The 14,665-nt window shown below is 42.5% G+C and overlaps 1 protein-coding gene and 1 pseudogene across 10 annotated transcripts in view, besides 1 other annotated feature; one reads left to right on the forward strand and one right to left on the reverse strand.

The window, feature by feature from the left end:
- The window catches only part of DESI2 (desumoylating isopeptidase 2), a 55,908-nt gene that overhangs the window by 36,370 nt on the left and 4,873 nt on the right, over positions 1-14,665 (forward strand). For 4 of the 10 annotated variants that reach the window (NR_123735.2, NM_001297746.2, XM_011544206.4 and 1 more), the window contains one exon: positions 2,389-2,525. Coding sequence is in view for 7 of the 10 variants with exons in the window: in NM_001297746.2 (NP_001284675.1) it covers positions 2,389-2,525 (137 nt within the window). In the remaining 3 variants the exon portion in view is untranslated. Of the gene's footprint in view, positions 1-2,383; positions 2,526-10,365; positions 10,539-14,665 lie in introns of those variants that run through there. The other 6 variants (NR_123736.2, NM_016076.5, XM_011544203.4 and 3 more) reach the window with 2 other exon arrangements.
- On the reverse strand, positions 4,884-5,253 carry RPL37P8 (ribosomal protein L37 pseudogene 8; annotated as a pseudogene).
- Positions 10,323-10,523: a silencer, noted in NCBI's record as "peak808 fragment used in MPRA reporter construct". NCBI's record gives its function as "represses an SCP1 promoter by STARR-seq MPRAs in K562 erythroleukemia cells {active_cell/tissue: K562}" and the evidence as "EXISTENCE:reporter gene assay evidence [ECO:0000049][PMID:32103011]".

The following is a 14,665-nucleotide window of genomic DNA, read 5'->3' on the forward strand; positions in this document are numbered from 1 at the left end:
TCAGGAAACTCATTTCTTTTCCTTTTTTTTTTGAGATGGAGTCTCACTCTGTCTCCCAGGCTGGAGAGAAGTGGCGTGATCTCAGCTCACTGCAGCGTCCGCCTTCTAGGTTCAAGCGATTCTCCTGCCTCAGGCTCCCAAGTAGCTGGGATTACAGGCGTGCACCACGACGTCCGGCTAATTTTTGTATTTTTAGTAGAGATGGAGTTTCGCCATGTTGGCCAGGCTAGTCTTGAACTCCTGACCTCAGGTGATCCACCTGCCTCGGCCTCCCAAAGTGCTGGGATTACAGGCGTGAGCCACCACGCCCAGCCCAGGAAACTCCTTTCTAATGATTTCTTCCCCTCAATCTCCTGTTTGAAAGGAGAAAAAGTTTTATTGTGACCTACCTAGCAAATTAAAAATGTCTTTATTGTCCCAATGAAAGGGACACTTTACACGTTTGAAATAATTAAACAGTTGATTAGCGTAGAATCCATTGTTAAGGTACATGTATTACATGTAATGATAAACCTAAAATATATGGATGTAAGTGTTCACTGGAGTCTTACGAGTAATAAAAAGCAGTGAGAATATAATTTTTTTTATTTATACTTTAAGTTCTAGGGTACATGTGCACAACGTGCAGGTTTGTTACATAGGTATCCATGTGTCATGTTGGTTTGCAGCACCCATGATCTCATCATTTACATTAGGTATTTCTCCTAATGCTATCCCTCCCCCAGGCTCCCACCCCGCGACAGGCCCTGGTGTGTGATGTTCCCCGCCCTGTGTCCAAGTGTTCTCATCGTTCAGTTCCCACCTATGAGTGAGAACATACGGTGTTTGGTTTTCTGTCCTTGTGATAGTTTGCTGAGAATGAGAATATAAATGTTAATAATAAAATTTTCATTCCTTAATTGAGGTTTGTATTTAAAGTGATATTTAGGGCCGGGTGCAGTGGCTCATGCCTGTAATCCCAGCACTTTGGGAGGCCAAGGCAGGCGGATCACCTGAGGTCAGGAGTTCGAGATCAGCCTGGGCAACACGGTGAAACCCCGTCTCTACTAAAAATATAAAATTAGCCAGGCATGGTGGTACATGCCTGTAATCCCAGCTACTCGGGAGGCTGAGGCAGGAGAATTGCTTGAACCTGGGAGGCAGAGGATGCGGTGAGCTGAGGTCGCGCCATTGCACTCCAGCCTGGGCAACAAGAGTAAATCTCCGTCTCACCAAAAAAAAAAAAAAAAAGTGATATTTAGAATGTGAGTTTCAAGGAGCTTTAAACTTCTGGGCCTATAATAGATGGCTTGCCAAGTGAAAAAGAGACAGTGAAATGAGGTTCCAACATTAAACTTCAGTAGAGAGCTACACATTAAGCCCTCTACTAAGTTCATAGTTCTCTTAGCCTATCACTGAATTGAAAGATTTTCGCACGTAAGTGCTATGATACCATCCTGAATCCACTCCTTCGGGCTCTCTTTTGGCAAGACTACTTGATAAAAGGATTTTCTAAGTATTTTCAGGTTCCTTGGATGCCTTTTATCTGACTAAAATTCCACTTTCTCTTGGATAATGTCTGTCGCCTTTCCAAGGTAGTAGTTTGGAGTCCTTTTAATTTTTGTTTGTTTAGAGATGGAGTCTTGCTCTGTCACCCTGGCTGGAGTACAGTGGTACGATCTCGGCTCACTGCAACCTCTGCCTCCTGCGTTCAAGCGATTCTTCCGCCTCAGCCTCCCAAGTAGCTGGGATTACAGGCACCTGCCATCATGCCCGACTAATTTTTGTATTGTTTTAGAGACGGGGGTTTCACCGTGTTGGCCAGGCTGGTCTCGAACTCCTGACCTCAGGTGATCTGCCCACCTCGGCCTCCCAAAGTGCTGGGATTACAGGCGTGAGCCGCCATACCCGGCCAGGGTCCTTCTTTTTAAAAAACGTTTAGTCAGATTTGACAGTTTGTCTCATTGCAGCACAGTGACAGATAACTTAAAAGTTTGTTTCTAGGTGACATTATGGCCAGCCCTTAAATGGCAAGTGAAATTACGCAGGAATATTTGCAGCATGGATCTGGTTCCCTAATAATATAACTGCTAATACAATAGTTGTGAAAATAACTGTAATATTACATGTTACATAAGGACATATATTTCATAAAGAAAATGACTTGTGCTTTTGTAGTATTCATAGGTAATATACTTAAGAGTTTATTGCAGAAAAGTAGAAACTAAAATAGGACTTTTAAAGTATCTTGTTTCACTTTTAGTCTTGTTATATTAACCCTGATTTGTTATGTCGATCATAATATTCCTGGAAATAAGCAAGTATTTAAACATGCTTTTTATAAATATTTGACACAACTATGTCCTTATTTTTCTTTCTCTTTTTTTTCTTTTTGTTCTTTAAGAGAAGCTGTTGTTTTAGGGAGCACGGACTTCCTAGAAGATGATATAGAAAAAATTGTAGAAGAACTGGGAAAAGAATACAAAGGCAATGCTTATCATTTAATGCATAAAAACTGCAATCATTTTTCTTCAGCTTTATCAGAGGTAAGCTAAATTTTATCCTAAAAGTTCTTCAAATAAATATTTGCTATCCCACTATACTTGATATCCCACTATATTCGATCTTGATTCACTTCTTTTCCGATTTTTTGTGTTGTATGAAATATGGTATTGTATTTCAATCTTGTATGAATGACCTTTCCAGAGTTGGTAACTTGAGAGTCCGCAGTTTTAAATGGTAATTCTATTCATTACTTTGCAGTGGGTAGAGAGTAAGTACAAATAATGGTCCCTTCTTACTCTATTTTATTATAACCTGAAACTTTCACTTTAAAAAAGTAAATGCCTAGAAACTTCTGCTTCTTAGCCACTAAGGTTTCTCTTTGGCTGAATTTTTTTTTCTGGCTCTTATTAATAAGTAATTCGTGTCTTCCATCTTGAAATTTTCTTCTGCTAACATAACACATAGGCACTTACTTGCCTTCTCAATTCTTGAATCCCAAGCAGAAGATCAAAACTAGGTCAAAATTAAAGAACTATAAAAAGAAAATGGAGGAAAGAAATTAGAAAGATTATAAAGTAAGGTCTAGGGAATTGGCACTTGAAGCAGCTTCCCAGCTTTCTGATTCTTAGCAGATGGTTACAGTGGCAGCGTCCAGGTGCCACAGAAACTGTGAAGGGTGTAAAGGAGAGAACGAGCTGCTGCTTCAGTGGCCTCCTCTGCAGAAATGCTTCGCTCCTTGGCCCTTTTTACTTCCCTCATGGCTTCTACAATACAGCTTTCAGACAACTCTCACAGACTGTTACCATGCTACTCAAAGTGTGTTTCATGGACCAGCAGCATCAGCATCTCCTAGTAATTTGTGAGATATGTATTATCTCTGCCCCACCAGAGATACACTGAATGCAAATCTTCACTTTAACAAGATCCCCAGATGACTCATATGAACGTGAAGGTTCAAGAAACACTCTAGTCTAGCGGATGCATCAGTACCGTAGAAGTGACCTAGTCAGTCTTCAGGCAGGGGGAAGGTAGTTCTGAGCTTTCTTGACCCCAGGCATTACATTTGTATGGAATGCTTTCAAAGATCTGTTGAGTGCTAAAATTAGTGGAGAAATAGACAGCATCCTAATCCACTCTATTTTTCAGACAAGGAAACAGACCCCAATTGGGAAAATGACTTATCAAAGAAGATTGTCATAGAGAATTCAGACTAGACCGGACTTCTTACTCCAGTGCTTATTATATTTTACCATTACTTCCTCTGGTTCTAATTCATCCTGTCCTTCAAAAACATTAAGAACGTTATTGAGCATCTATACCACCACATCAGCCCTGGTCTAACCCCAAAACCATTTTGCATTTGGGGCCCAAAGAGCAATTCTGGATGTCCCTGGAGCCATCTTTTTAGGCCACAGTTTTTATGCTTTTCCCCATATGAGTGCTGAATTGTTTGTTCTTTTTTTTTTTTGAGATGCAGTTTTGCTCTTTGTCACCCAGGCTGGAGTGCAGTGGGACCATCTTGGCTCACCACAACCTCTGCCTCCCAGGTTCAAGCGATTCTCCTGCCTCAGCCTCCCGAGTAGCTGGGACTATAGGCACCCGCCACCACGCCTGGCTAATTTCGTATTTTTAGTAGAGGCAGGGTTTCTCCATGTTGGTTAGGCTGGTCTCGAACTCCTGACCTCAAGTGATCCGCCCGCCTCAGCCTCCCAAAGTGCTGGGATTACAGGCGTGAGCCACGGCGCCCAGCCTAACGCTGAATTGTTAAGCTGGAAGACCCAGAAGTTAAGTGACTTGACCCAAGGTTACCTAGCCTGTTGGTGGCAGTGCTGGAACTAGAATTCTGGATAGTGAGGGATAAGGAGCTATTATAATAAAATATGGTATATATTCCATTAAATGGAAATACCAGCTCTTGCCGATTGTGAAATGTAAAAGCTACCTTTGGAATTTGAAATGATAGATGCAACTCCCATATAACGAAGACAAGCAAATTAATATTAGGCACTCTAATGAAGTTTAGTAAAACTGGTATGCTTTTATATCTTTGACAACATAGTGTGGGGACGTATGTCATAAGCAGTTGCAAATAAGCAAAATCATCACTATATTAATAATTGATTGTTGATATATGTACTTTTCTGTTAAATTGTTCTTAAAAATTCTAAGAATTATCATTTAACACCGTAATGTTATCAGTTCCGATGCTTCCTCTACAGCAGGGATTAGCAAACTACTATAGCCTGGCCTTTGAACCAACACCAGCGTGTCATCTGTCCTTGTACAGCCTGCAGGCTAAAATGGTTTTTACATTCTTTTTAAGGACTGAAAAAAGCCAAAAGAGTATTATATGGTGACATGTATAAATTATGTAAAGTTCAAACTTTAGTATTCATAAAATTTTTTTTTTTAAACCGGAACATCTATTGCATTACTCATCGTTGAAATTCTTAAGATGAACTGGATGCTGCAGCAGCTGCCCTCTTGGGTTTAGGTGGTGTTCCTTCACGGAATCTGTGCCTGAATCTGCGGTCTACAATTTTTAGGTGCCTCATTCGACCAGTCCCAGTGGTATTTTGTCTTTTAGCCTTGGCACTGCCGTTATACTTTCTCTTGCGCTTGGCGGGGTAGCCACATTTGCCACAGGTCAACTTCTGAAGGTGGTAGGCCTTAGAGCCACAGCAGTGGCACGTGTGCGTCTTATTGCGACGCTTTCCAAACGATGATGTTGCCTTCGTCACCTTGCTTCTGTGGCTAAGACCAGAGAGATTCATTAAGTTTTATTAGAACACAGCCATGCTTATTTGTTTACCTGTTTCCTTGACTGCTTTCCGGCTGCAGTGGCAGAGTTGAGTAGCTGCAGCAAAGATTTATGGCCTATAAAGCCCAAAATATTTATTGTTTGACCTTTAACAGAAAAAGTTTGCCAGCCTCTACTCTGCAAGATAGGTCCCTTCGAATTGGGTGCTAAGTGGCTTAAACATTGAGGAAACGTTATCTTACAAAACAAGTCCAGAATAAGGCAGGCTCCATTCCAATGTGGTCAGTGTCTCAACTGTGAGTGTCATAGGGATGTAAGGTCTTTATTCATTTCTCTAAGCTGCCATCCTTGGGATGTTGGCCCCACCGGCAGGCCAGCTCCCTTTATGGTTTCAGATAGAGGCAACAATTTTAACACAACCACCAGAGAAAGACCATGTCTCTCTCCCTTTGGAAACAGTGGAACTCTTTCTGGAACTCCCTTTTCCCTACCCTTCCAAAAGCAGCCATGTTTTACAGCCAGAATTGTGTCAGATGCCTAATTATGAACCTCTCACTAGCAAAAGGACTGGCATTACCATTACTAAATGCCACTCGTCTAATCTAAATGTCTTTTTAAAATTAATATTTTCGGCCAGGCATGGTGGCTCACACCTGTAATCCCAGCACTTTGGGAGGCCAAGGTCGGGGGATCACAAGGTCAAGAGATCAAGACCATCCTGGCCAACATGTTGAAACCTCATCTCTAACTAAAAATATAAAAATTAGCTGGGCGTGGTGGCGGGCACCTGTAATCCCAGCTACTCAGGAGGCTGAGGCAGGAGAATCACTTGAACCCAGGAGGCAGAGGTTGCAGTGAGCAGAGATGGTGCTGTTGCACTCCATCCTGGGCAACAGGAGCAAAACTCCATCTGAAAAAAATAAGTAAAATTACTATTTTCAGTAGAAAATTCAAAACATATAAAAGTAGAATAATATAATGAGCCCCTATATAACTGTAACTTAGATACCACTCCAGCCCCAAATTGTTTTGAAACAAATCCCAGATTTCATTTAGAGACAGGGTCTTGCTGTTGCCCCGGCTGGGGTGCAGTAATGTGATCATAGTTCATTGCAGCTGGGAACTCAGGCTCAAGTGAGCCTCCTGCCTCAGCCTCCCAAGTAGCTGGAGCTACAGGTACATGCCACTATGTACAGCTTTTGTATTTTTTGTGAAGATGGAGTTGCATTATATTGCCCAGGCTGGTCTGGAACTCCTGGACTCAAGCAATCCTCCCACCTCAGCCTCCCAAAATCCTGGGATTACCTGCATGAGCCACTGCACCTGGCCTAATTTCAATTATAAATATTTCACTCTGTATCTCTAAAAGATAAAGATTCTTTTTAACATAACCACATGATGTCATCACTCCTAAAATTAACTCCTAAAATTATGTTATCACTCCACAAATTAACACTATTTCTTAATATTATCCAAATAAACAACGTTCAGATTTCCCCAGTTGTCATAATTTTTTAACGGTTAGTTTGAATCCAAATCTAAACAAAAGTTCATACAGCTGGTCACCCTGAGATACATTCCCCATAGAAAAGGCAAGATAGCTGGGCACAGTGGCTCACGCCTGTAATCCCAGTACTTTGGGAGGCTGAGGCGGGTAGGTTGCTTGAGCACACAAGTTCAAGACGAGCTTGGGCAACATGGCAAAACCCCATCTACAAAAAATACAAAAATTAGCTAGGCACGGTGGTGTGTGCCTGTAGTCCCAGCTGCTTGGGAGGCTGAGGTAGGAGGATGGCTTAAGCCCAGGAGGCAGAGGTTGCAGTGAACCAAGATGGTACCACTGCACTCCAGCCTGGGTGATAGGGCAAGATAGATGCTTTCTTCCCCCCTTTACTTGTTTTCAAAAAACAAGTTGGTTCCTATACAGAAGAGTTAACTACCATCATAGGCCTAAAACTGCTGTCCTTAGAAAGGCCTGCCTGCAGGATTGGTCCTGAGCTGGCATCTGCGAGCTTGGACTTCTGTAAGGTTCTCATCATTCCCAGAACTGAGAAGAGTGGCTCCCTTTGCCTAACCTGTTTGTACAACTAATTTGGTTTATGCTGAAAACCTGCTTTCCCTCTGGGACTCTGGGATTTTGGCAGAGGACGCCTGCATGACCAGCCCCCAATAGAAGTCTCGGGTTCTGAGTCTGTAATGATCTTCCCTGGTAGACATTTCATATATGTTGTCACAGACCATTGCTGGGGGGATTAAGCATGCACATCCTACCTGACTCTATTAGGAGAGGATCCTTAAAGCTTGTGCCTGCTTTCCTCTGGACTTTGCCCCAAGTATATTTTCCTTTTGCTGATTTTGTTTTGTACCTTTTTGTTGTAATAAGTCATAGTCATGAGTATGCTATGCTGATTCCTGAGTCCTAGCAAATCACCAAAACGGGGCGGTTGTGGAGACCTTTGACTCACAGAAATATAACAGAAGGACTGGCAAGGCACGGTGGCTCATGCCTGTAATCCCAGCATTTTGGGAGGTTGAGGCGGGCAGATCACTTGAGGTCAGGAGTTTGAGACCAGCCTGGCCAACTTGGTGAAACCCCGTCTCTACCAAAAAATGTAAAAAATTAGCCTGGTGTGTGGCACACACCTGTAATCCCAGCTACTCAGGAGGTGGAAGTTACAATGAGCTGAGATCGTGCCACTGCACTCCAACCTGGGTGACAGAGGGAGCCTCTGTCTCAAAAAAAAAAAAAAAAAGGACTGAGAAAAGAAAGGATGAAATGGGTAGAGGTATGGAAAACCTTTGATGTCTGGATGGCTGTGGAGTTATCCATGATATGAAATAGCAGCTGAGCTGTTGCCTGTTATGAAAGGTAAAAGTTACCTGTCGAATTTCAAATGATAGATCCAACTCCAGGAGAACTGACTCACTAGATCACCTGGCTACTTTTGGCCATGCTGGTTACAGTGAGGAGAAAAAAGAAGTGTAGCCCAGGTAATACCTTCAGTTTTTGTTCTCTCCTCCCGGAAGAAAGAAAAAAGGCCCAAAAATTCCCAAAGATGAGCTTTGGTTGGGCCAAAAATGTTAAACATTTATGGCACTCTTTCCTCACAAGTAGGAGGAAAAAAGGTTGAATCAGTTCTCAGGGCTGGAGCAAAGTAAAAAAGGGCAGAGGACATCCTTCAGTTGTTAGCCTACCTGCACGCCCTCAACCCCATTCCAGATAGGGTCTCCTCCGCAACTGTAATATTAAACCTTTTGCTAAATTTACTGCAAGGGGTCGAATACATCTGCAGTGAGGAAGGTGCCGGGCCAGGGTGGGGTAGCGGGGGCAGTTAATGGCCTTGTATTTTGCAGTTATTACATCTATGGATATACGATAGAAGTTGATGTAAAATGTTTTATGCTTGTAATGTCGCAGATGCGAGGGGGATTAGCTCAGTAAGGCAATGCTGCAAAGAAGTTGTTAGTGGGACGCAGCTTCCTTGCTTTTTGCTGCTGTAGGATAGACGGAAATTTAAATCGTTTGTTGAAAGCAAAATATGTCTCACAGCCGATGATATTTACTATGATTTTTGCCCATTGGAGCCTCTGGAAAAAGGAAGACATACACTTCTAAACATTTTTAAAGCAGTTTTTAATTGCAAGTGAGCTCATATAAAATCAGATGTCTGACCCTAGAGGCTGGTGATTTTCTAGCCTGATGTGCATAATTTTGAGTGGGTCTTAGAAAGCACTTAGGAAAGCTTTGCTTTTTGCTTGGCCTTGGAAACATGACTGGCCCTTCAGCATCTCAGCTTTACTGCTGCCAAAGAAAAGTCTCTGGCATATTTTGGAATCCTGAATTCATAGATCCTAGTTGCTTGGACTTGACGCTTGAGCTAAAACTTGACATTGCCTCCTACACACTATTTCAGTCTCAGCACAAGCTGTGTTAAACTGAAAGAGATACAGGCTCAGGGAAGACGACTTCTATTTGGGGATCAAGGCAGATTCAGGATACCCCTCTGTGGGGCTCTTCACTATAAAAAATGGATGTTGATGGAACTACGTGGATTATCACAGGTGTCCATGGGAACCGGCTTCTCTGGTGGGACCATACGAAGTCGAACTGCTGATCTGTTCTGTATTTCTGATACAGGGACTGATTACATTCCTAACTTGTGATTACTGACAAAAGCTACATGTTGAGGGGAAAGCATATCACTAGGACTGTGACCCCTGTGCCTACCCATCTTACTCTCTACCTCTTAGGAAAGTTTCACTGTGTTTACTTGGGACTTCTGGACTAGCTGCCGTTTGCAACAGTGGACTTACCAGTTTGCCACTACTCTGCTACCTTTCTACTGGTGCACACACCTTAGTAAGGCAGTTTGATTACTAAATGCAGCTGTCTCCAGAAATGGAATGATGCTATAGGCCACTTACTAAATGAATGATCAGGAGGAAAGCAGTGAGTGGCTCTCTAAAACCATTTTGAAATATTTTGAAAATTCAGGATTTAATTCTGACCAGTTCTGAAAATGGCATGTCTTTCTGGTTACATTATATAAAAATATTTTCTGGCCAGGTGCGGTGGCTCATGCCTGTAATCCCAACGCTTTAGGAGGCCCAGGCAGGCAGATCACGAGGTCAAGAGATCGAGACCATCCTGGCCAACAGGATGTACAACAGGATGTACTAAAAATACAGAAATTAGCCGGGCATGGTGGCGCGGACCTGTAGTCCCAGCTACTCGGGAGGCTGAGGCAGGAGAATTCCTTGAATACAGGAGGGGGAGGTTGCAGGGAGCCGAGATTGTGCCACTGCACTCCAGCCTAGCAACAGAGTGAGACTGTCTCAAAAAAAAAAAAAAAAAAAAAAAAAAAAAAAAAAAAAATTCTGTGAAAACTTTTGTCCCGCTTTAATATATCCCTTCCAGACAAAAGGTCTGGATGAGAGTAGAGGACAATTTTTTAAATGCGAAGCTATGACTGCTAAATGGGACATACTGATTTTGTAACAACAACAAAAAACAAACCCTGGCACCTAGGGAATCTCAAAGGAGGCAAAGACTGATCATCTTTGTTTTTCAATACTGCCTTTCCGCTCTTCCCTAAAAACTTCCATGCTACCTTTTTAAGATGCTGCAAGCACTTTGAATTCAAACAGCCTGCTGAGCCTGTGCTCAAACCTATGAGAGCAGGGAGTGGCCTCAGCTCCTGCACTTCCCACACGGAACACCTCCAGATGTCATCCACAGTCGTGAGGCTGATAACCTGATGTCATGGACCAACATGGAACTGACTGTCTTCAGGTAGTCCCTCTGAAACAAAAACTCAAACTAAGTTTTCAGGCTGGAGTGGAAACCTGTTTTCCTCTACACTTTACCCCATGCACCTTTTCGCTTGCCAATTTTGTTTCATACCCTTTCGCTGTGGTAAGTCCTACCTGTGAATACAGCTATATGCTATGTCCTATGAGTCCTCTAAAATCATCAAACCTCGAGGTGGAAAAACTGGGTCTTGGGCATCCCTGACACAGTTCCCTAGTATTCTCTAAGTGGTTTTTTCTCCCCACAAAATAGTTTTTGTTTTGAAAATTTAGCATCGTGAATATCTCCTCCCCAGATTTAAAAGTATTTTCGTTTCGGATCAGTGTAATGACTGTTTTTGTCCCATCTTTGATGCATGGGAGCCTCTTCAAGTTGGCTCATAAGTCTTTTGATTTGTCCCTAGTAATCTTCTACAGCGTTTTGTTATCTGGTATGACAAGATATTCCAGGCTCATCTACATATTTTCTACCTCAGAACTGTTTCCTTCTAATAGCAAATATTTAGAAACTTTTATCTGGGCATTCAGGTTGCTCACTACTACTGAATTGATAATTGTTTCTAGCTCCTCACCCCCACCAGTAGATGAAACTAGGACTTTTTTACAGGTTCATAGTGACGTTTCTACTACAAATCTGGGCTACAGAATTTTTACTTAACCTCATCAATGAGATAGCTACATTTTATCTTTCCCATGTCAGAAATCTAAATTCTCAGCAACAAGAAACATAATTGCTCATTTGTTTTACTCCTCTATACCTAAAACAGCTGTAGAATAATAGTGTTACCATAAGCACCACCAATATGAGTATAGAAGGTTAAGGTTTTTTGTTGTTCTTTCATCTTTAGATTGTGACTTAATAGATACAGTAAAATTCATGTGTTTTACAGTTAATTGGAATTTATTTCTATGTGGTTATGATATTTAGCTGAGGAGATTTCCAAGCAAAGTGTAGAAGGTGCAGCCTGCCTTGTTGCTTATAGTAAAATGTGAGAACAACAATAGAGGGAAGAACTATTAAAGCACAAGAAGGAATCAACATTTAATGATTTAGGAAATTTTTCAGCCTATCTAGATTGCAAAAGATGCGAAATTAGGAGCTTCACTATTAGGAAAGGATGCTACAGAGAAAGCCAAGGGCATGACTGGACCACCTTCCCCTCCACCCCCCCCCCCCCCCCCCCGCCCTTTTAACTGCTGAAGAAATTAAATATGTGACTCGTGGATCATCTCAACCATCTCGACAGAAACCAAGAATGGAGATGGGATTATTCAGGAACGATCTGTGGAGGAACATCTTTTCTAATGGAGTCAATCCCATGACATACGCAAGAGATCCACAATGTTTGGAGAATGGTATATTAGCAGAAACACTGCCAGCTTGGACTGAAAGAGACAGAGAGGGGACAAAATTAAAGAAGATGCTTTGACTGTCAAAATTCTATAGGCAGGTAACTGGCCGGAGAAAAAGGATGATTCAGAGGATAGAATCTCCAGATGGCAGAGCCAAGGGCCATAGAAGATTATTCCCAGGCCTTGAAACCTAATGTTGGAGTCCAGAATTGTTTGGGACTAGTAACTCCTTTCTTCCTTCCATTTTCTCCCTTTTGGAACGGGAATGTCTATAAATTTTATTCTCTGCCTGTTCCACTATTATATTTTGGGAGCATCCTATATATGCTTTTCTCCATTTTGCTTTTTTCACTAATAGTATATCCTGGAGTACATTCTGTAACAGTATATAGAAATATTCCTCACTTCTTTTTTTAGCTGAATAGTCTTCCTTGTGTGGATGTACCATAATTTATTCAACCTGTTAATGGCACTTGGTTAATTTTAGTCTTTTGCTGTTACAAAAAGTGTTGTAATGAATAACCCTGTACATACATCTTTTTATTTTTACCACTATATGTGTACGCTTGATTTTCTAGAAGAGGGATTGCTGGATTGGAGCTTAAATGCAAAATTTCATTTTGCTATATAAACCAAATACTATTTGATCACTAGCCACCTAAGAAATACATTTTGCATTGTGACCCAGTTTACACACACACAGGCATGTAACTAAGATGTGTCATGGTTACCTCGCTACCTCCAATCTGTTTTGTTTTAAAAATTCAGGTAGCAATGCTAAGTGACCTACTAATGGGTCATGACTCAAAGTTTTAAAAACATTGGCTTGGCTGGGCACGGTGGCTCACGCCTGTAATCCCGACACTTTGGGAGGCTGAGGCAGGCAGATCACCTGAGGTCAGGAGTTTGAGACCAGCCTGGCCAACATGGTGAAACGCCGTCTCTACTAAAAATACAAAAGTTAGCCAGGTGTGGTGGTGCATGCCTATGATCCCATCTACTCGGGAGGCTGAGGCAAGAGGATCGCCTGAACCTGGCAGGTGGAGATTGCAGCGAGCCCAGATTGTGCCACTGCACTCCAGCCTCAGTAACAGACCAAGACTCCATCTCAAAAAATAAATAAATAAATAAATAAATGGCTTGACCAAGGATTGGTACACTTTTATTTGAAAGAGCCAGATAATAAATATTTTAGGCTTGTGGACTATTCATAGTCCCAACTCTGCCTCTGCCATTGTAGCCTAAGAGGTATAGGGGATACATAAACCAATAGACACGGCTGTGTTTCAGTAAAACTATCTACAAAACCAAGTGGCTATAGATAGGACTCTGTTGTAGGCTAATCAAGCCACACCCTCAGGGGTTGGAATGAAGTCAGCTTCACCTGTAGCACATGGATATATGGAGGAGGGTAGATTACTGAATGAAATTAGGACTTGGGAAGGAGAATGAGGGAAATGGCTGTTGAATAGGCAACAGTCGCTATCACATTAACTAAATAGTCTTAGTCATGACTTACATGATTAACCTCTAAATAGGCAGATAGCCCTAATATGTCCCAGGTGTAAAGTACAATGTAATATTTGTTTGCCAGCGCTTTTTTTTTTTTTTTTGGTGAGACGAAGTCTTGCTCTGTCACCCAGGCTGGAGTGCAGTGGCACGATCTCAGCTCACTGCCACCTCTGCCTCCTGGGTTCAAGCAATTCTCCTGCCTCAGCCTCCTGAGTAGCTGTGATTACAGGTGTGTGCCACCACACCTGGCTAATTTTTGTATTTTTAGTAGAGATGAGGTTTCACTATGTTGGCCAGGCTGGTCTCGAACTGCTGACCTCAAGTGATCCACCTACCTCTGCCTCCCAAAGTGCTGGGATTACAGGCATAAGATACCACCTCACCTGCCCGGCCTGTTTGGCAGTGTTTTTAAGAGCAGATGTAGTTCATATACATTCTTTTTTGTTTGTTTTGTTTTTGAGATGGAATCTCACTTTGTCATCCAGGCTGTAGTGCAGTGGCACAGTCTTGGCTCTCTGCAGCTTCAACCTCCTGGGCCCAGGCAATCCCCCTGCCCTAGCCTCCCAAGTAGCTGAGGCTACAGGCACACACCACCATACCCAGCAAATTTGTGTGTGTGTAAACAAGGTCTTACTATGTTGCCCAGGGTGGTCTTGAACTCCTGGTCTCAAGTAATCCTCCTGCCTTGGACTTCCAAAGTACAGAGATTACAGGCATGAGCCACCATGCCTGGCCTCATGTACACTTTTTTTTTTTTTTTTGAGACAGAGTCTTGCTCTGTTGCCCCGGCTGGAGTGCAGTGGTGCGATCTCGGCTCACTGCAAGCTCCGCCTCCCAGATTCACGCCATTCTCCTGCCTCAGCCTCCCGAGTAGCTGGGACTACAGGTGCCCGCCACCACGCCTAGCTAATTTTTTGTATGTTTAGTAGAGATGGGGTTTCACTGTGTTAGCCAGGATGGTCTCGATCTCCTGACCTCATGATCTGCCCGCCTCGGCCTCCCAAAGTGCTGGGAATTACAGGTGTGAGCCACCGCGCTGGGCCGAAATATTTTTAAGTGTCTACCTCTCTGTACTCACAGGCAGTGTGATAGGTGCTTGGTAATCAAAAGTGGTTAGCACATGCTACCTTCCCTCAAGTGAGACCATCTGACTTTCCCTATAGTTAAGATAGAGACATACTATTTAAAATAAATGTAATAAGCATTAAGAGGTAGGGCTAAACTTTTAGGGAGAAAAGGTACACG

This window comes from Homo sapiens, chromosome 1 (genome assembly GCF_000001405.40).
Source record: "Homo sapiens chromosome 1, GRCh38.p14 Primary Assembly".
Lineage (NCBI taxonomy): Eukaryota > Metazoa > Chordata > Mammalia > Primates > Hominidae > Homo > Homo sapiens.